The sequence below is a fragment of the Homo sapiens genome, chromosome 1, assembly GCF_000001405.40.
Source record: "Homo sapiens chromosome 1, GRCh38.p14 Primary Assembly".
Classification (NCBI taxonomy): domain Eukaryota; kingdom Metazoa; phylum Chordata; class Mammalia; order Primates; family Hominidae; genus Homo; species Homo sapiens.
The window spans coordinates 86,655,464-86,677,373 of record NC_000001.11 but is presented as its reverse complement, the minus strand read 5'-3'; the positions used below and the strand labels follow the sequence as shown (position 1 = coordinate 86,677,373).

Genomic DNA, 21,910 nt, shown 5'->3' with positions numbered 1-21,910 from the left:
TCAGTAGGATTGGTACCAGCCCTTCTTTGTATATCTGGTAGAATTTGGCTGTGAATCCATCTGGTCCAGGACTTTTTTTTAATTTGGTAAGGTTTTTTTTTATTACTGATTCAATTTCACTACTTCTTATTGGTCTGTTTAGGATTTCTGTTTCTTCCTGGTTCAAACTTGGGAGGCTGTGTCTTTCCAGGAATTTATCCATTTCCTCTAGATTTTCAAGTTTATGTGCATCTGATGGATATTAAATTATATCTCAATTGTTGTTGCAATTGTCATTTCTCTGATTACTAGCACATTTCTTGGATTTTAATACTTACTTGCCATTAGGCTTCCCTTTAAAGGATTTGCCTATTTACATCCTCTATCCATTTTTCCATTGAGGTTTCCTGCTTTTTTCCTTGTTAATTTGCAGGTGTTCCTTATACCTGGTAAATATTAATTTCTTAGTAGGCCTTAAATATAGCAAATAGCTTCTCTAGTCTGTCATTAATTTTGCTTATGGTGTCCTTTGCAAGCAGAAATTCTTAATTTGGGTAATTAAACCCATCGTTTTTGGGGGGCTTAGTATTTTGTGCTTTTAGGTCCTTCTTAAGAAGTCTTTCTAGCTCTAAGCTCACTCATATGTTTTCCTTCATTTTCTATTATTTTTAGAATTTTAAAATTTGCAATTTTTAAATTTTTAAAATTTTAAAATTTGCCTTTTAAGTTGAACATTTTATTCCAAATGGAATTCATGTGTGTATATCACATGACTTACTTTACTCTTCTCTATATGTTGAACTAGTTTTCCTAATGCTCTCTGGAAATTTGTTTATCTTTTCTCTATTGATTTATAGTGCTTCCTTTATTAGACTTTTTTCTTTCTGAATTTTTATTCTATTCCATTACGTTGTTGTTTCCATATAATTAAATGCTATATTTATTACTATAGCTTTCTAGATTGTATTAGTACTTGGGAAGGAAATTCCTCCATTTTACTAATCTTTTTCAAAATCAAATTAGGTTTATTTTGTATAATTTGGAAGATATGGTTGCTAAATGTCCTAGAATTTTTATTGAAATCTGAATTTGTTACCTATTGCTGCATAACTGATTACACCATGGTTTAGTGGTTTAAAACAACAACAAATATTTATTGTCTCTCAGCTTCTGTGAATCAGGGATTCAGAAGTACCGTATCTGGGTAGTTCTGAGTTGGTATCTCTCATGAGGTTGCAGTCAAGATGTTACCTGGGTCTATAGTCTTCTGATGGCTTGATGGGGGGTGGGTAGAATATTCTTCTCCAAGATGGTTCATTCACATGGATGGCAAGCTGATACTGGCAATTGGCAGCATTAGCTCCTTGCCATATAAACCTCTTGGTAGAGCTTCTTGAATATCCTCACAACATGGAAGCTGATGTCCACTACAGCAAGTGATCTAGAAGACAGCAAAGTGGAGGCTACAATGTCATTTGTCATTTATGATCTAGCATTGGAAGTTACCCTCCAACATTCTTGAAATATCTTATTGATTGCACGAGTCAGTTCTCCTCAGTGTGGAGAGGACTACATAAGGGAGCAAGTATCATTGAGGGTCATCTTGGAACTTGGCTGCCTCAGTCCATCTTCTGGCTGCCAATAATTAATGCCCCTCCCACATGCAAAATTTACTCATTCTCCTGACAAGGCTCCCCAAAGTCTCATTCCATAATGGCATTAGCTTGAAGTCCAAAATCTCATCTAAATTAGGCCTGGGGGCAGATGAAGCTCCTTCGGTATAGTTCCTTAAGTACAGTTTCTTTTGATCTGAAGACCTATGCAGTTAGGAAAAGAAACTACACAATGACATATGTACCAGGAGGCAAGAATCACTGGAGGCCATCTTGAAGGACGGGCACCACAAAATTTCATTTAACATTTCTTGCAAGACAAATGCCTCATTTTGTTTGAGAAAATCTTTATTTCTCTTTCACTTTTGAAGAATAATTTTGCTAGGTACAGAATTCTATGTTGGAGGGTGCTGGGCGTGGTGGCTCATGCCTGTAATCCCAGCACTTTGGGAGGCCAAGGCGGGAGGATCACCTGAGGTCGGGAGTTCAAGACCAGCCTGGTCAACATGGTGAAACCTCGCCTCTATTAAAAATACAAAAATTAGCCAGGTATGGTGGCGGGTGCCTGTAATCCCAGCTACTTGGGAGGCTGAGGCAGGAGAATAGCTCGAACCTGGGAGGCGGAGGTTGCAGTGAGCTGAGACTGAGAGTGAGACTCCATCTCCAAAAAATAAAAAAGAATTTATTTTTGGTTCTTTCAAAACTTTAAATGTGTACTCCACTTTCTTCTTGCATGCCTGATTGCTGAAGAGAAGTATGATGTAATTCTTAATCATTGTTTATTTATAGGTAAGGTCTTTTTTATTTCTGTTTTATTTCTCCAAGACTTTGAGTTCATCTTTGTTTTCTGAAGTTTGCATATGATATCCCTATGTGTGGATTTGTTGATACTTATTGTGGTTGGTGTTCTTTGAGTTTTGTTGACCCGTGTTTTATAATTGTCTCACAGTTTTTGAGTATTCTATTTCATCATTTCATCTTGTTTTTTTCTCTTTCTTAGTTTTGGAAGGTATTTTTTTTTCTCTCCCAGTTTTGGAAGTTTCTATTGATATATCTTCAAGCATACTGTTTCTTTTCTCTGCTTCTCAGCTGTGTCCTGTCTACTGATGAGCCTGTCAAAGACATGCTTCATGTCTGTTACAGTATTTTTTATTTTTAGCATTTCATTTTGATTCTTTCTTAGGATTTCCATGTTTCTGCTTGTATTATCCCTGCTTCTGTTCTTGCACATGTTTCCTTTTCCATTAAAGCTCTTATTTATCGTATTAATAGTTTCATTTTATTTTATTTTATTTTATTTGTAGAGATAAAGTCTTGCTATGTTGCCCAGGGTAGTCTCAAATTACTGGTCTCAAGCAATCCTCCTGACTTGACCTCCTAAAGTACTGGGATTACAGGCATGAGCCACTGCACCTGGCCTAATTATACCTATTTTTTAATTTATTTTTCAGAGAAATCATGTTTATTACCCCCAATATTACCTTTTTAAACTTATTTTTATATTTTTTCATTTTTAATTTTTGTGGCTACATAGTAGGTATATATATTTATGGGGCACATGGGATATTGTGACACAGGCTTCAATGTGTAATAATCACGTCAAGGTAAATGGGGTATTCATCACCTCAAGCATTTTTCCTTTGTGTTAAAAACAATCCAATTATACTGTTTTAGTTATTTTTAAATGTACAATAAGGTATTGTTGACCATAGTCACCCTGTTGTGATACCAAATACCAGTTCTTATTCATTTATTATTATTATTATTATACTTTAAGTTTTAGGGTAGATATGCACAATGTGCCGGTTAGTTACATATGTATACATGTGCCATGCTGGTGTGCTGCACCCATTAACTTGTCATTTAACATTAGGTATATCTCCTAATGCTATCCCTCTCCCCTCCCCCCACCCCACAACAGTCCCCAGAGTGTGATGTTCCCCTTCCTGTGTCCATGTGTTCTCATTGTTCAATTCCCACCTATGAGTGAGAACATGCGGTGTTTGGTTTTTTGTCCTTGCGACAGTTTACTGAGAATGATGATTTCCAATTTCATCCATGTCCCTACAAAGGACATGAACTCATCATTTTTTATGGCTGCATAGTATTCCATGGTGTATATGTGCCACATTTTCTTAATTCAGTCTATCATTGTTGGACATTTGGGTTGGTTCCTAGTCTTTGCTATCTTGAATAGTGCTGCAATAAACATACGTGTGCATGTGTCTTTATAGCAGCATGATTTATAGTCCTTTGGGTATATACCCAGTAATGGGATGGCTGGGTCAAATGGTATTTCTAGTTCTAGATCCCTGAGGAATCACCACACTGACTCCCACAATGGTTGAACTAGTTTACAGTCCCACCAACAGTGTAAAAGTGTTCCTATTTCTCCACATCCTCTCCAGCACCTGTTGTTTCCTGACTTTTTAATGATTGCCATTCTAACTGGTGTGAGATGGTATCTCATTGTGGTTTTGATTTGCATTTCTCTGATGGCCAGTGATGATGAGCATTTTTTCATGTGTCTGTTGGCTGCATAAATGTCTTCTTTTGAGAAGTGTCTGTTCATATCCTTTGCCCACTTTTTGATGGGGTTTTTTTTTTCTTGTAAATTTGTTTGAGTTCATTGTAGATTCTGGATATTAGCCCTTTGTCAGATGTGTAGATTGCAAACATTTTCTCCCATTTTGTAGGTTGCCTGTTCACTCTGATGGTAGTTTCTTTTGCTGTGCCAGAAGCTCTTGAGTTTAATTAGATCCCATTTGTCAATTTTGGCTTTTGTTGCCATTGCTTTTGGTGTTTTAGACATGAAGTCCTTGCCCATGCCTATGTCCTGAATGGTAATGCCTAGGTTTTCTTCTAGGGTTTTTGTGGTTTTAGGTCTAACGTTCTTTAATCCATCTTGAATTGATTTTTGTATAAGGTGTAAGGAAGGGATCCAGTTTCAGCTTTCTACATATGGCTAGCCAGTTTTCCCAGCACCATTTATTAAATAGGGAATCCTTTCCCCATTTCTTGTTTTTCTCAGGTTTGTCAAAGATCAGATAGTTGTAGATATGTGGCGTTATTTCTGAGGGCTCTGTTCTGTTCCATTGATCTATATCTCTGTTTTGGTACCAGTACCATGCTGTTTTGGTTACTGTAGCCTTGTAGTATAGTTTGAAGTCAGGTAGCATGATGCCTCCAGCTTTGTTCTTTTGGCTTATGATTGACTTGGTGATGCGGGCTCTTTTTTGGTTCCATATGAACTTTAAAGTAGTTTTTTCCAATTCTGTGAAGAAAGTCATTGGTAGCTTGATGGGGATGGCATTGAATCTATAGATTACCTTGGGCAGTATGGCCATTTTCACGATATTGATTCTTCCTACCCATGAGCATGTAATGTTCTTCCATTTGTTTGTATCCTCTTTTATTTCATTGAGCAGTGGTTTATAGTTCTCCTTGAAGAGGTCCTTCACATCCCTTGTAAGATGGATTCCTAGGTATTTTATTCTCTTTGAAGCAATTGTGAATGGGAGTTCACTCATGATTTGGCTCTCTGTTTGTCTGTTATTGGTGTATAAGAATGCTTGTGATTTTTGCACATTGATTTTGTATCCTGAGACTTTGCTGAACGTGCTTATCAGCTTAAGGAGATTTTGGGCTGAGACAATGGGGTTTTCTATATTTTTGTACACATTCACCATCCCCACTCCCCAACCCTGCAAAGTACCCTTCCCAGATACTGGTAACCATCATTCTACTCTATATCTCTATGAGTTCAATTGTTTTAAAAATTTTTTAGCTCCCACAAATAAGTGAGAACATGCAAAATTTGTCTTTCTGTGCTATTTCACATAACATAATGACCTCCAGTTTCATCTAAGTTGTTGCAAATGACAGGATCTCCTTCTTGTTTTGGCTGAATAGTGCTCTATTATGTATAGTTACCATATTTTCTCTATCCATTCATTTGTTAATGGACACTTAGATTGCTTCCAAATATTGGTTATTGTGAATAGTGCTGCAGTAAAATTGGAAGTGCAGATATCTCTTCAATGTACTGATTCCTTTCTTTTGGGTTTATACCTAGCAGTGGGATTCTGGATCATACGGTAGTTCTATTTTTAGTTTTTTGAGGAATATCCAAACTTTTTCCCATAGCGGTTGTACTAATTTACATTCCCACCAACAGTGTACGGAAGTTCTCTTTTCTCCACATCATTGTCAGTATTTGTTATTGCCTACGTTTTGGGTAAAAGCCACTTTAGCTGGGGTAAGATGCTATCTCATTGTAGTTTTGACTTGCATTTTTCTGATGATCAGTGATGTTGAGTACCTTTTCATATACCTGCTTGCCATTTGTATGTCTTCTTTTGAGAAATGTCTATTGAGATCTTTTGCACAGTTTTTAGGTTGGATTATTATATTTTTTCCTGTTGAGTTGTTTGGGCTCCTTATGCATTCTGGTTATTAATTTCTTGTTAGATGGATAATTTGCAAATATTTTTTCCTATTCAGTGGGTTGTCCTTCACTTTGTTGATTGTTTCCTTTGCTGTGCAGAAGCTTTTTAACTTGGTTTGATACCATTTGTCCATGTTTGCTTTGGTTGCCTGAGCTTGTGGGGTATTACTCAAGAAATCTTTGCTCAGTCTAATGTCCTGGAGAATTTGCACAATGTTTTCTTTCAGTAGTTTCATAGTTTGGGGTATTAGATATAAGTCTTTAATACATTTTTATTTGGTTTCGTCTATGGTAAGAGTTAGGGGTCTAGTTTCATTGTATAGATATCCAGTTTTCCCAGCACCATTTATTGAAGACTGCCCTTTCCTAAATGTATGTTCTTGGTATTTTTGTCAAAAAATAGTTCACTGTAGATGTATGGATTTATTTGTGGATTCACTGTTCCATTTTGTTGGTCTACATGTCTGTTGTTATGCCAGTACCATGTTATTTTGGGTACTGTAGCTCTGTAGTACATTTGAAGTCAGGTAATGTGATTCTTCCAATTTTGTACTTTTTGCTCAGGATTACCGTGAGTATTCTGGGTCTTTTGTGGTTTCATATAAATTTTAGGATTTTTTTTCTATTTCTGTGAAGAATGTTGTTGATATTTTGATAGTGATTGCACTGAATCTGTAGATTGCTTTTGGTAGTATGGACAGTTTAAGAATATTGATTCTTCCAATTCTTGAACATGGAATATCTTTCCATTTTTTTTGTATTACCTTCAACTTCCTACATCAATGTTTTACAGTTTTCATTGTAGAAATATTTCACTTCTTTGGTTAAGTTTATTCCTAGGTATTTTATTTTATTTGTAGCTATTGTAAATGGAGTTACTTTCATGATTTATTTGTCAGATTGTTAGCTGTTGGCAGATAGAAATGCTACTAATTTTTGTATGTTGATTTTTGTATCCTGCAACTTCACTGAATTTGTTTGTCAGTTCTAATAGTTTTCTTGGTGAAGTCTTTAGGTTTTTCCAAGTATAAGATCATATCATCTGCAAACAAGGATAATTTGACTTCTTCCTTTCCAATTTGCATGCTCTTTATTTCTTTCTCTCATCTGATTGCTCTAGCTAGGACTTCTAGTACTATGTTGAATAATAGTGATGAAAATGGGCATCCTTATCTTGTTTCAGCTCTTGGAGGAAAGGCTTTCACTTTTTCATTGTTCAGTATGATACTAGCTGTAGTCTGTCGTATATGGCTTTTATTGTGTTGAGGTATGTCATTTATACCTAGTTTTTGAAGTTTTTTTTTTTAACATGAAGGGATGTTGAATTTTATCAAGTGTTTTTTTCAGTATCAATTGAAATGATCATATGGTTTTTATCCTTCATTCTGTTGATATGATATATCCCACTGATTGATTTGCATATGTTGAATCATCTTTGCATCCCTGGGATGTATCCCACTTTGTCATGATTAATGATCTTATTAATGTGTTGTTGAATTTGGTTTGCTAGTGTTTTATTGAGGATAATATTTGCATCAATGTTCATCAGGGATATTGGCCTGTAGTTTTTTTTGGTGTGTCTTTGTCTGGTTTTGGTATCAGGGTAATACTGGCCTCACAGAATGAGTTTAGAAGTATTCCCTCCTCTTCTACTTTTTGGAGTAGTTTGAGTAGGATTGGTATTAGTTCTTTAAATGTTAGGTAGAATTCAGCAGTGAAGCTAACAAGCCCTGAGCTTTTCTATCCTGGGAGACTTTATTATGGCTTCAATCTCATTACTTGTTATTGGTCTATTCTGGTTTGGGATTTCTTCAGGATCAATCTTAGCAGGTTGTATATGTCTAAGAGTGTATCTATTTCTTCTGGGTTTTCCAATGTATTGTCATATATATTAGCTCAGAGTATTCACTAATTATCCTTTGAATTTATGTGGTATCAAGTGTAATAGTGTAATGTCTCCTTTTTTATCTGTGATTTTACTTATCTAGCTCTTCTTTCTTTTTTTCTTAGTCAGGCTAAAGATTTGTCACTTTATCTGTTCGTAAGAAAAACTTTGCTTTGATCTTTTGTATTTTTTATTTCAATTTCATTTATTTCTTCTCTGATATTATTTCTTTTCTTCTACTAATTTTGGGTTTGATTTACTCTTTTCTTTCTAATTCTTTAATCTACATCATTAGGTTGCTAATTTGCAGTTTTTCTGCTTTTCCGATGTAGGTGCTTATTGCTATAAACTTTCTTCTTAGTACTGCTTTTGCTATATCCCATAGGATTTTGTATGTTATATTTCCATTTTCCTTTGTTTCAACAAATTTTTAAATTTTCTTCTTAATGTCTTTATTGACCCAGTGGACATTCAGGAACATATTATCTAATTTCCAGGTATTTGTATAGTTTCCAAAGTCCCTTCTGTTATTGATTTCTGGTGTTTTTCCATTGTGGTCAGAAAAGATATTTGATATGATTTCATTTCTTTTGAATTTTTAAAGACTTGTTTTGTGGCCTAACATATGGTCTATTCTTAAGGATTATCCATGTGCTGAGACGAGTGTGTATTTTGCAGCTGTTGGATGAAATGTTTTGTAAATATCTGTTAGGTACATTTGGTCTATAGTGCAGATTTAATCCAGTGTTTTTTTTGGTTGATTTTCTGTCTGGAAGATCTGTCCAATGCTGAAAGTGAGGTGTTGAAGTCTCCAGCTATTATTGTATTGGGGTCCATTTCTGTCTTTAGCTCTAATAATATTTGCTTTATATATCTGGGTGTTCCAGTGTCAGGTGCATATGTATTTACGATTGTTATATCCTCTTGCTGAATTGACCCCTTTGTCATTATATAATGACTTTGTCTTATTTCATAGTTTTTGTCTTGACATTTATTTTATCTCATATAAGTATAGCTACTCCTGCTTTGTTTTGGTTTTCAGTTGCATTGAAAATATTTTCCCATCCCTTTATTTTCAGTCTATGTGTGTCTTTACAGGGGAACTGTGTTTCTTGTAGGCCACAAGTCATTGGGTTTTTTTCATTGTTGTTTTGTTTTGTTTTCATTCAGTCACTCAGTCTTTTGATTGGAGATTTTAGTCCATTTACATTCAATGTTATTAGTGATAAGTAAGGGCTTACTCCTGTCATTTTGTTATTAATTTTCTGGGTGTCTTTTAGTTCTCTCTTCCTTCTTTCCTTTCTTCTTGTCTTCCTTTCAGTGAAGATCATTTTCTCAGGTGGTGTGTTTTAATTTCTTGCTTTTCATTTTTTTGTGTGTATCTGTTGTATATGTTTTGATTTGAGATTACCATAAGACTTGCAAATAGTATCCTATAAACCCCATTATTTTAAACTTATGGCAACTTAACACTGATTGCATAAACAGACAAAAACCAAACAAACAAAGAGAAAACTCAAAAACTCTACACTTTAACTTTATTCTCCCACTTTTAACACTTTTGTGTTCTTTCTGTTTATACTGTATTATACTGTCTATTCTTGAAAAGTTGTTGTAGTTTTTATTTTTGGTAGTTTCATCTTTTAGTCATTCTACTCAACACATGAATAGTTTACACACCACAATTACAGTGTTATAATATTCTGTGTCTTTCTGTGTACTTACTACTACCAGTGTGTTTCGTACCTTCAGGTGATTTCTTATTGCTCATTACAGTGATTTTCTTTCAGATTGAAGAACTCCCCTTAACATTTCTTGTAGAACAGGCCTGGTGTTGATGAAATCCCTCAGCTTTTGTTTGTCTGGGAAAGTATTTCTCTTTCATTGTTGAAGTATATTTTCACTAGATTTACTATTCTAGGATAAACGATTTTTCTTTCAGTACTTTAAATATGTCATGCCACTGTCTCCTGGTATGTAAAATTTCAACTGAAAAATCGGTTGCCAGACATATTGGAGCTCTTTTGTATATTATTTGTTTCTTTTCTCTTACTGCTTTTAGGATCTTTTCTTTATCCTTGACCTTCGGGGGTTTGATTATTAAATGTGTTGAGATAGTCTTCTTTGTCTTGAAATTTATTTTATCTAATATAAGTATAGCTACTCCTGCTCTGTTTTGGTTTTCACTTGCATGGAATATCTTTTTTCATCCCTTTACTTTTAGTCTATGTGTGTCTTTATAGAAGTGTGTTTCTGATTCCTTTTCTGTGTTATCTTGAATTTTGTTGAACTTCCTCAAAACAGCTATTTTGAATTCTCTGTCTGAAAGGTCACAGATCTCTATCTCTCTGGGATTAGTCCCTGGTGCTTCATTTAGTTTGTCTGGTGAGGTCATGTTTTCCTGCATGGTCTTGATGTCTGTGGATGATCTTTGATGTGTGGGCATTAAAGAGTTCGGTATTTATTATAGTCTTTGCAGTCTGGGAGCTTGTTTGTACCTATCTTTCTTGGGAAGGCTTTCCAGGTATTCAAAAGGACCTGGGTGTTGTGATGTAAGTCTTTGGTCACTGAAGCTGTATCTGCTTTAAGGGGCACCCCAAGCTCAGTAATGCTGTGACTCTTGCAGGCTTGTAGAGGTACTGCCTTAGTGGTCTTGGATAAGATCTAGAAGAATTCTCTGGATTATCAGGCAGAGACTCTTGTTCTCTGTCCTTACTCTCCCCAAAACAAATGGAGTCTCTCTCTCTCTCTCTGTGCTGGTGGAGGGGTGATACGAGCAGCCCTGTGGCCACCATCACTGGGACTGTGCTGGGTTAGACTCAAAGCCAGCCCAGCACTGAGTGTGGCTCAAGGCCCACAGTGACCACTGTCTGGCTACTGCCTACATTCACTCAAGGCCCAAGGGCTCTACAATCAGAAGGTGGCACATCCAGCCAGGTTTGTGTCCTTCCCTTCAGGGTGGTGAGCTCCCCCAGCCCCGCGCAGGTCTGGAGATGCCACCCAGGAGCCAGAGTCTGGAGTTGAGAACCTTAGGAATCTACCTGGTGCCCTATTTTACTGCAGCTGAGCTGGCACCGAAGCCATAAGGCAAGTCCCTCCCACTCTTTCCTTCCTTTTCCTTAAGCAGAGGGGCCTATTCCTACGGCCACCATTGCCCCTGGCCTGTGGTGAGTACTGCCTGGCTACCACTGGTATTTATTAAAGGCCCAAGGCCTCTTTAGTCAGCTTGCAGTGAATTCTGCCAGTTTGAGACAGAGTCTCTAGGGAAACCCAAAGACAACCAGGGAGTTAAAAACAAAACATTAAAGAAAATTTTTGCTTCTGAAGCAGCTACAGCAAACAGTGAACATCATCTAACTTCCAGCCAAGTAACATAAAACTTCACACTAATGGACTATTTATGACAATTTTTTTAGCCAATATATTATATCAGGCTTTAAACGAAAAATTACAGGCTCTGCTAAAGACATAAAACAGTCTGTTGTACTTGAAGAGCATCTTTAGGAAAAAAAAAAATCAGGACCAGATTCAGATATGTCAGAAATTTTGGAATTAACAGACGAAGAATTTAAAGCAATTATGATTAGGGAGGAGGCAGAGCAAGATAGCCAAATAGAAGCCTCTGGCAATCATCTCCCTCACAGGAAGACCAAATTGAACAACTACCCACACAAAAAAGCCCCTTCACAAGAACAAAAAACTCAGATGAGCTATAATAGTGCCTGGTTTTAACATCATATTAAGGAAAGGAGCACTGAGGAAGGTAGGAAAGACATTCTTGAATCACCTGCACCTCCCGTCCCCAATTCCCTGGCAGCAGCTTCATGGCACAGAGAGAGAATCTGTGTGCTTAAGGGAGGCAGAGCACAGTGATTACAGGATTTTGCACTGGAACTCAGTCCTGCCCTGTCACAGTGGAAAGCAACATGGGGCAGAACTCTGCCAGAGCCCATGGAGGAGGCATTTATACTAGCCCTAGCCATGGGTAAATCTTCTGTCTCAATGGTTGGGACCTGAGTACCAACAAGGCCTGCCACCGTTGGCTAAAGGGCTCTGGGTTTCTAAACAAATTTGCAAGGCAGTCTAGGCAACAAAGACTGCAATTCCTGGGCAAGTACTGGTGCCATGCTGGGCTCAAAACCCTGTCTCTCCCTTCAGGGCAGTGGGCTCCCCTCTGTCCCAGGACAGGTCTAGAAATGTCATCCTGGACCCAAAGTCTGTAACCAGAAACCCCCAAGAGCCCACTTGTTGCTCTACCCACTGTGGCGAACCTAGTATGCAATCGGCAAGAAAAAGTCCCCTTTACTCTTCCATCTCCTTTCCTCAAGCAGAAGGAGTTTTTTTTTCCCATAGCTACCACAGCTGAGAATGTGCCGGGACATACGTGAAGCCAGTACAGATTTGAGTCTCACCCAAGGCCTGCAGAGTACTGCCTGGCCACCACTGCTGAATATTCAGGGCCCAAAGACTCTTTAGTCAGCAGGTTATGAATTCTGCCAGGACTGGGTTCTTTCTGTCCAAGACAGCAGGTTCCCTTCTGGCCCATGTTACCTGAACATGTTTCCATGACCTAGGGCCTGGAATGGGGGCCTCAGGACTCTGCCTCATTTCTTATCCTACTATGACTGAGTTGGTATCCAAGTTGTAAGACAAAATCCTCTTTACTCTCCCCTCTTCTCTCCTCAAAGAGAGAGGGAAGGAGTCTCTCCCAGAGCTATAAGCTGCACTGTCTGGGGTTGGGGAAGGGGTAACACAAGCCCTCCCTTGGCTACCCCAGCTGGTGTCTCACTAGGTCACATATTCCCCAAGTCCACTGGCTTTGATCCCAGCATGGCACCAGTACTTGCCCAGGAATTGCAGTCTTTGTTGCCTAGACTGCCTTGCAAATTTGTTTAGAAACCCAGAGCCCTTTAGCCAACGGTGGCAGGCCTTGTTGGTACTCAGGTCCCAACCATTGAGACAGAAGATTTACCCATGGCTAGGGCTAGTATAAATGCCTCCTCCATGGGCTCTGGCAGAGTTCTGCCCCATGTTGCTTTCCACTGTGACAGGGCAGGACTGAGTTCCAGTGCAAAATCCTGTAATCACTGTGCTCTGCCTCCCTTAAGCACACAGATTCTCTCTCTGTGCCATGAAGCTGCTGCCAGGGAATTGGGGACGGGAGGTGCAGGCGATTCAAGAATGTCTTTCCTACCTTCTTCAGTGCTCCTCTCCTTAATGTGATGTTAAAACCAGGTACTATTATAGCTCATCTGAGTTTTTTGTTCTTGTGAAGGGGCTTTTTTGTGTGGGTAGTTGTTCAATTTGGTCTTCCTGTGAGGGAGATGATTGCCAGAGGCTTCTATTTGGCTATCTTGCTCTGCCTCCTCCCTAATCATAATTGCTTTAAATTCTTCGTCTGTTAATTCCAAAATTTCTGACATATCTGAATCTGGTCCTGATTTTTTTTTTTTCCTAAAGATGCTCTTCAAGTACAACAGACTGTTTTATGTCTTTAGCATGGCTTGTAATTTTTCATTTAAAGCCTGATATAATATATTGGCTAAAAAAATTGTCATAAATAGTCCATTAGTGTGAAGTTTTATGTTACTTGGCTAGAAGTTAGATGATGTTCACTGTTTGCTGTAGCTGCATCAGAGGCAAAAATTTTCTTTAATGTTTTGATTTAACACCCTGGTTGTCTTTGGGTTTCCCTAGAGACTCTGTCTCAAATTGGGTCTGAGGCCTCTAGTTCTTTCATCTATAATCTCCTCTTCACACTCAGTAGCCTAAAAATGTGTTGGCAAGGTGTGAGGGAATGAGAAGCATTGTGTAATCATATGATTAGGTCTCAGTCTTTTTTTTTTTTTTAATTATACTTTAACTTCTAGGGTACATGTGCACAATGTGCAGGTTTGTTACATAGGTATACACATGTGCCATGTTGGTTTGCTGCACACATTAACGCATCATTTACATTAGATATTTCTCCTAATGCTATCCCTTCCCCTCCCCCCCAACCCCAAGACAGGCCCCTGTGCATGATGTTCCCCGCCCTGTGTCCAAGTGTTCTCATTGTTCAGTTCCCACCTATGAGTGAGAACATGCGGTGTTTAGTTTTCTGTCCTTGTGATAGTTTGCTGAGAATGATGGTTTCCAGCTTCATCCATGTCCCTACAAAGGACATGAACTCATCCTTTTTAATGGCTGCATAGTATTCCATGGTATATATGTGCCACATTTTGTTAATCCAGTCTATAATTGATGGATATTTGGGTTGGTTCCAAGTTTTTGCTATTGTGAATAATGCCTCAATAAACATACGTGTGCATGTGTCTTATAGCATGATTTATAATCCTTTGGGTATATACCCAGTAATGGGATGGCTGGGTCAAATGGTATTTCTAGTTTTAGATCCTTGATGAATGGCCACACTGTCTTCCACAATGGTTGAACTAGTTTACACTCCCACCAACTGTGTAAAAGCATTCCTATTTCTCCACATCCTCTCCAGCATCTGTTGTTTCCTGACTTTATAATGATCGCCATTCTAACTGGTGTGAGATGATATCTCATTGTGGTTTTCATTTGCATTTCTCTGATGACCAGTGATGAAGAGCATTTTTTCATGTGTCGGTTGGCTTCATAAATGTCTTCTTTTGAGAAGTGTCTGTTCATATCCTTTGCCCACTTTTTGATGGGGTTGTTTGTTTTTTACTTGTAAATTTGTTTAAGTTCTTTGTAGATTCTGGATATTAGCCCTTTGTCAGATGGGTATATTGCAAAAATTTTCTCCCATTCTGTAGGTTGCCTGTTCACTCTGATGGTGTTTCTTTTGCTGTGCAGAAGCTCTTGAGTTTAATTAGATCCCATTCGTCAATTTTGGCTTTTGTTGCCATTGCTTTTGGTGTTTTAGTCATGAAGTTCTTGCCCATGCCTGTATCCTCAGTGGTATTGCCTAGGTTTTCTTCTAGGGTTTTTATGGTTTTAGGTCTAACATTTAAGTCTTTAATCCATCTTGAATTAATTTTTGTATAAGGTGTAAGGAAGGGATCCAGTTTTAGCTTTCTACATATGGCTAGCCAATTTCCCAGCAGCATTTATTAAATAGGGATTCCTTCCCCCATTGCTTGTTTTTGTCAGGTTTGTCAAAGATCAGATGGTTGTAGATGTGTAGTATTATTTCTGAGGCCTCTGTTCTGTTCCATTGGTCTATATCTCTGTTTTGGTATCAGTACCATGCTGTTTTGGTTACTGTAGCCTTGTAGTATAGTTTGAAGTCAGGTAGCGTGATGCCTCCAGCTTTGTTCTTTTGGCTTAGGATTGTCTTGGCAGTGCAGGTTCTTTTTTGGTTCCATATGAATTTTAAAGTACTTTTTTCCAATTCTGTGAAGAAAGTCATTGGTAGCTTGATGAGGATGGCATTGAATCTATAAATTACCTGGGGCAGTATGGCCATTTTCACGATATTGATTCTTCCCATCCATGAGCATGGAATGTTCTTCCATTTGTTTGTGTCCTCTTTTATTTCGTTGAACAGTGGTTTGTAGTTCTCCTTGGAGAGATCCTTCACATCCCTTGTAAGATGGATTCCTAGGTATTTTATTCTCTTTGTAGCAATTGTGAATGGGAGTTCACTCATGATTTGGCTCTCTGTTTATCTGTTATTGGTGTATAGGAATGCTTGTGATTTTTGCACACTGATTTTGTATCCTGAGACTTTGCTGAAGTTACTTATCAGCATAAGGCGATTTGGGGCTGAGATGATGGGGTTTTGTAAAAATACAATCATGTCATCTGCAAATAGGGACAATTTGACTTCCTCTTTTCCTAAGTGCATACCCTTTATTTCTTTCTCTTGCCTGATTGCCCTGGCCAGAACTTCCAACACTATGTTGAATAGAAGTGGTGAGAGAGGGCATCCCTGTCTTGTGGCGGTTTTCAAAGGGAATGCTTCCAGTTTTTGCTCATTCAGGATGATATTGGCTGTGGGTTTGTCATGAATAGCTCTTGTTATTTTGAGATACGTTCCATCAATACCTAGTTTATTGAGAGTTTTTAGCATGAAGGGCTGTTGAATTTTGTTGAAGGCCTTTTCTGCATCTATTGAGATAATCATGAGGTTTTTGTCATTGGTTCTGTTTATATGCTGGATTACATTTATTGATTTGCATATGTTGAACCAACCTTTCATCCCAGGGATGAAGCCCACTTGATCGTGATGGATAAGCTTCTTGATGTGCTGCTGGATTCGGTTTGCCAGTATTTTATTGAGGATTTTTGCATCGATGTTCATCAGGGATATTGGCCTAAAATTCTCTTTTCTTGTTGAGTCTCTGCCAGGCTTTAGTATCAGGGTGATGCTGGCCTCATAAAATGAGTTAGGGAGGATTCCCTCTTTTTCTATTGATTGGAATAGTTTCAGAAGGAATGGTACCAGCTCCTCTTTGTACCTCTGTTAGAATTTGAGTGTGAATTCATCTGCTCCTGGACTTTTTTTTGTTGGTAGGCTATTAATTATTGCCTCAATTTCAGAGCCTGTTATTTGTCTATTTGGGGATTCAACTTCTTCTTGGTTTCATCTTGGGAGGGTGTATGTATCCAGGAGTTTATCCATTTCTTCTAGATTTTCTAGTTTATTTGCAAAGAGATGCTTATAGTATTCTCTGATAGTAGTTTGTATTTCTGTGGGATTGGTGGTGATATCCCTTTTATCTTTTTTTTATTGTATCTCTTTGATTCTTTGCTCTTTTCTTCTTTATTAGTCTTGCTAGCGGTCTACCAATTTTGTTGATCTTTCCAAAAAACCAGCTCCTGGATTCATTGATTTTTTGAAGGTTTTTTTGTGTCTCTATCTCCTTCAGTTCTGCTCTGATCTCAGTTATTTCTTGCTTTCTGCTAGCTTTTGAATGTGTTTGCTCTTGCTTCTCTAGTTCTTTTAATTGTGATGTTAGGGTGTCGATTTTAGATCTTTCCTGCTTTTCTTTGTGGGCATTTAGTGTTGTAAACTTCCCTCTACACTTTGCTTTAAATGTGTCCTGGAGATTCTGGTATGTTGTGTCTTTGTTCTCATTGGTTTCAAAGAACATCTTTATTTCTGCCTTCATTTCATTATTTACCCAGTAGTCATTCAGGAGCAGGTTGTTCAGTTTCCATGTAGTTGTGTGGTTTTGAGTGAGTTTCTTAATCCTGAGTTCTAATTTGATTGCACTGTGGTCTGAGAGACAGTTTATTGTGTTTTCTGTTCTTTTACCTTTGCTGAGGAGTGTTTTACTTCTAACTATGTGGTCAATTTTGGAATAAGTGTGATATGGTGCTGAGAAGAATGTATATTCTGTTGATTTGGGGTGGAGAGTTCTGTAGATGTTTATTAGGTCTGCTTGGTGCACAGCTGAGTTCAAGTCCTGTATATTCTTGTTTACATTCTGTCTCGTTGATCTGTCTAATATTGACAGTGGGGTGTTAAAGTCTCCCATTATTATTGTGTGGAAGTTTAAGTCTCTTTGTAGGTCTCTAAGGACTTGCTTTATGAATCTGGGTGCTCCTGTATTGGGTGCATGTATATTTAGGATAGTTAGCTCTTCTTGTTGAATTGATCCCTTTACCATTACGTAATGGCCCTCTTTGTCTCTTTTGATCTTTGTTGGTTTAAAGTGTTTTTATCAGTGACTAGGATTGCAACCCCTGCCTTTTTTTGCTTTCCATTTGCTTGGTAGACCTTCCTCCATCCCTTTCTTTTGAGCCTATGTCTGTCTCTGCACGTGAGATGGGTGTCCTGAATACAGCACACTGATGGGTCTTGACTCTTTATCCAATTTTCCAGTCTGTGTCTTTTATTTGGAGCATTTAGCCCATTTACATTTAAGGTTAATATTGTTATAAGTGAATTTGATCCTGTCATTATGATGTTAGCTGGTTATTTCGCCTGTTAGTTGAGGCAGTTTCTTCCTAGCATCAATGATCTTTAGAATTTGGCATGTTTTTGCAGTGGCTGGTACTCATTCCTTTCCATGTTTAGTGGTTCCTTCAGGCGCTCTTGTAAGACAGGCCTGGTGGTGACAAAAATCTCTCAGCATTTGCTTGTCTGTAAAGTATTTTATTTCTCCTTCACTTATGAAGCTTTGTTTGACTGGATATGAAATTCTGGGTTGAAAATTCTTTTCTTTAAGAATGTTGAATATTGGCCCCCACTCTCTTCTGGCTTGTAGAGCTTCCACTGAGAGATCAGCTGTTAGTCTGATGGGCTTCCCTTTGTGGGTAACCCAACCTTTCTCTCTGGTTGCCCTTAATATTTTTTCCTTCATTTCAACCTTGGTGAATCTGACAATTATGTGCCTTGGTGTTGCTCTTCTTGAGGAGTATCTTTGTGGTGTTTTCTGTATTTCCTGAATTTGAATGTTGGCCTTGCCTTGCAAAGTTGGGGAAGTTCTCCTGGATAGTATCCTGCAGAGTGTTTTCCAACTTGGTTCCATTCTCCCCATCACTTTCAGGTACACCAATCAAACATAGATTTGATCTTTTCACATAGTCCTATATTTCTTGGAGGCTTTGTTCAATTATTTTTACTCTTTTTTTCTCTAAACTTCTTTTTTCATTTTATTTCACTAATTTGATCTTCAATCACTGATACCCTTCCTTCCACTTGATTAAATCGGCTATTGAAGCTTGTTCATGCATCATGTAGTTCTCATCCCATGGTTTTCAGCTCCCTCAGGTCACTTAAGGTCTTCTCTACACTGTTTATTCTAGTTAGCCATTCGTTTAATCTTTTTTCAAGGTTTTTAGCTTCCTTGCGATGGGTTGAAACCTCCTCCTTTAGCTCGGAGAAGTTTGTTTTTACTGACCTTCTGAAGCCTGCTTCTGTCAGCTCGTCAGAGTCATTCTCCGTCCAGCTTTGTTCCATTGTTGGCAAGGAGCTGCGATCCTTTAGAGGAGAAGAGGCGCTCTGATTTTTCAAATTTTCAGCTTTTCTGCTCTGGTTTCTCCCCATATTTTTGGTTTTATCTACTTTTAGTCTTTGATGCTGGTGATCACAGATGGGGTTTTGGTGTGGATGTCCTTTTTGTTGATGTTGATGGTATTCCTTTCTGTTTGTTAGTTTTCCTTCTAAGAGTCTGGTCCCTCAGCTGCAGTTCTGTTGGAGTTTGCTAGAGATCCACTCCAGACCCTCTTTGCCTGGGTATCACCAGCAGAGGCTGCAAAACAGCAAATATTGCAGAACAGCAAATATTGCTGCTTGATCCTTCCTCTGGAAGCTTTGTCTCAGAGGGGCACCCAGCTGTATGAGGTGTCACTTGGCCCCTATTGGGAGGTGTCTCCCAGTTAGGCTACATGGGGGTCAGGGATCCACTTGAGGAGGCAGTCTGTCTGTTCTCAGAGCTCAAACATCATGCTGGGAGAACCACTGCTCTCTTCAGAGCTGTCAGACAGGGATGTTTAAATCTGCAGAAGTTTCTGCTGCCTTTTGTCCAGCTATGGCCTGCCCCTGAGATGTGTGGTTTACACAGGCAGCAGGCCTTGCAGAGCTGTGGTGGGCTTTGACCAGTTGGAGCTTCCCCAACCCCTTTGTTTACCTAGTCAAGCCTCAGCAATGGTGGACGCCCCTCCCCCTGCCAGGCTGCTATCTCGCAGGTCAATCTCAGACTGCTGCGCTAGCAGTGAGCAAGGCTCCATGGGCGTGGGACACACCAAGGCAGGTGTGGGATATAATCTCCTGGTGTGTCGTTTGTTAAGACCGTTGGAAAAGTGCAGTATTTAGGCGGGGGTGTCCCAATTTTCCAGGTACAGTCTGTCATGGCTTCCCTTGGCTAGGAAAGGGAAATCGCCTGACCTCTTGCGCTTCCTGGATGAGGCAATGCCCCACCCTGCTTCGGCTCACCCTCCGTGGTGGGCTGCACCCACTGTCCAACCAGTCCCAATGAGATGAACCAGGTACCTCAGTTGGAAATGCAGAAATCAACGCCTTCTGTGTTGGTTATGCTGGGAGCTGCAGACCGGAGCTGTTCCTATTCGGCCATCTTGGAACAGAATAGGTCTCAGTCTTTTACTGTGCTTGTCTCCTTGGGCTGTGGCCTTCACAAATGCTTTTCTGCTTTTTTTTTTTTTTAACTTTTATTTTAGGTTCAGGGATACATGTGCATATTTGTTATATAGGTAAATTGTGTGCCACAGGGGCTTGGTGTACAGATTATTTCATCATCCAGGTAACAAACCTAGTACCACAGTACCTGTTAGGTGGTTTTCCGATCCTCACCGTTCTCCATCCCTCAAACCTTAAGTAGGCCCCAGTGTCTGTTGTTCCCTTCCTAGTGTCTGTTTTTTCCCCCTCTTTGATCAGATAGGAATGTTAGAGGGCTCCGGAGTTGAGTATCTTCCTCTGCCACAAGGAAGGCTAGGGGAGATTGGAGTTGGGTATTTCTCTTCCCCTAAGTTGGTTAGGCCCTTGTAAAACCTAAGTTAGTCAGGCTCTGGTAAAACAGTTTCCCTTGAGGACAGGCTTTTGCTAAGAACAGGACACTTTTGGTATATTTCAAAATGGTTACTTTTACGTCTCTGATGTTGAGAGTCTGAGGGGATTTTTCTTTAATCCCACTCTGAAAACTTCATGGGGTTCTTGGAAGAAAAACTCAGGGAAGTATGGAGGTCTCTCTAAGGCCTCTGAGAGTTTTTAACTCTCAGCCTTATTCACACTCAGCCTCTGGCATGTCTTCGTTTACGGTTTGTGTTCCTACTGGTATTAGCTTCACTGATAGGTTTCTGCTCCTGGTAAGCTGTGATTCTGTATTTTTCTGCCTCTCCAATATTTTTGTAGCAGGTTGCAGTGTGACTTCAACTTTCTGATGAAACTACGAAGAATTCTTTATTTTTCAGTTCAGCTTTTTTTTTCTTGTTGTGAGGTGGGGAGTGACAACTTCAAAGCTCTGTATATATCAGACTAGTGCTATTGATTTTTAGTAAATTGATCTTGTATCTGGGAATTTTTCATAATTCTCTCATTTTAATTATTTGTTGATTTTATTGGATTTCCATCTCACCTGTACAAAATTACAATTTCGTATCTTTCTTTCAAATTATTGTATCTTCTATTCTTTTTTTATTGCATAGGAATCTTCCCTCATTAACTTCTAAAGCTCTATAAATTATTCAGTATAGTGACCATGTATTAACAATCAGTTAACTATCTCTTGACTCTTTGAGGCTTTCATAATCAATAATTTTTTTATTATTTGTTGACTCTTAAGTGATTTATTTTCCTAGAACTTAGAATTCTCACCCTCTGATGTATAATTTTTCATCTCTACTTGAAGATTTAGTGCCCTTTTTGTTTATTTTTAAAAGGTGAGGGTTTTGACTTTAAGATTAAAATATCAGGTTAATAGTTTTCATAGGTTTCATTTTGACTGAAGAATGATGGTTGAATTACACTTTTCTGCATGTATTGAGATAATCATATAACTAAACAAAAACTGTTAATGTAGTAAATTACTTTAATTTTCTAGTATTAAATCACATTTGGGTTCCTGAGATAGATTCAACTTGGTCATGATATATTATTATTTTTCATATATTTTTCTGGATTTGGTTTGCTAATGATTTATAATTTTTTTCTTGACTCTTCCAGATATATACAGCATCTTCCTTTCAGATATTTAAAGAGATTTAAATAACCTTCTTGTCTGTAAACAAAGGATTTTCTACCAATATGTCCTTCTCTGTCTTTCTAAGAAAAATCACTCCATTGCTATATTAATAGCTCAATTTACCTTTTATTACCTTCTAAATTCTATTAATAGTTAACTTTCTGAAACTTTATGTGTTGGTTTTGAACTATGTTATTAAGGGATTTAGTTTTCATTATATGAAGTCCTCATAATACCAAGTGCACATGATAGTTTGTGGTATTTTTTTAATGTAATGAGGTCAAATTTGGATTTTTTTGAAGTTATAAAAGTATTCACTAAGTTATTTAAAAAATATTTATTGAATATCTTCTATGTGTCAATTATT

General features: G+C 38.3%; 1 long non-coding RNA gene across 1 annotated transcript in view; it reads left to right on the top strand.

Moving 5' to 3' along the window:
* Nucleotides 1–21,910, top strand: part of CLCA4-AS1 (CLCA4 antisense RNA 1) — a 133,313-nt gene that overhangs the window by 27,120 nt on the left and 84,283 nt on the right. The gene's annotated exons all lie outside the window — the stretch shown is intronic.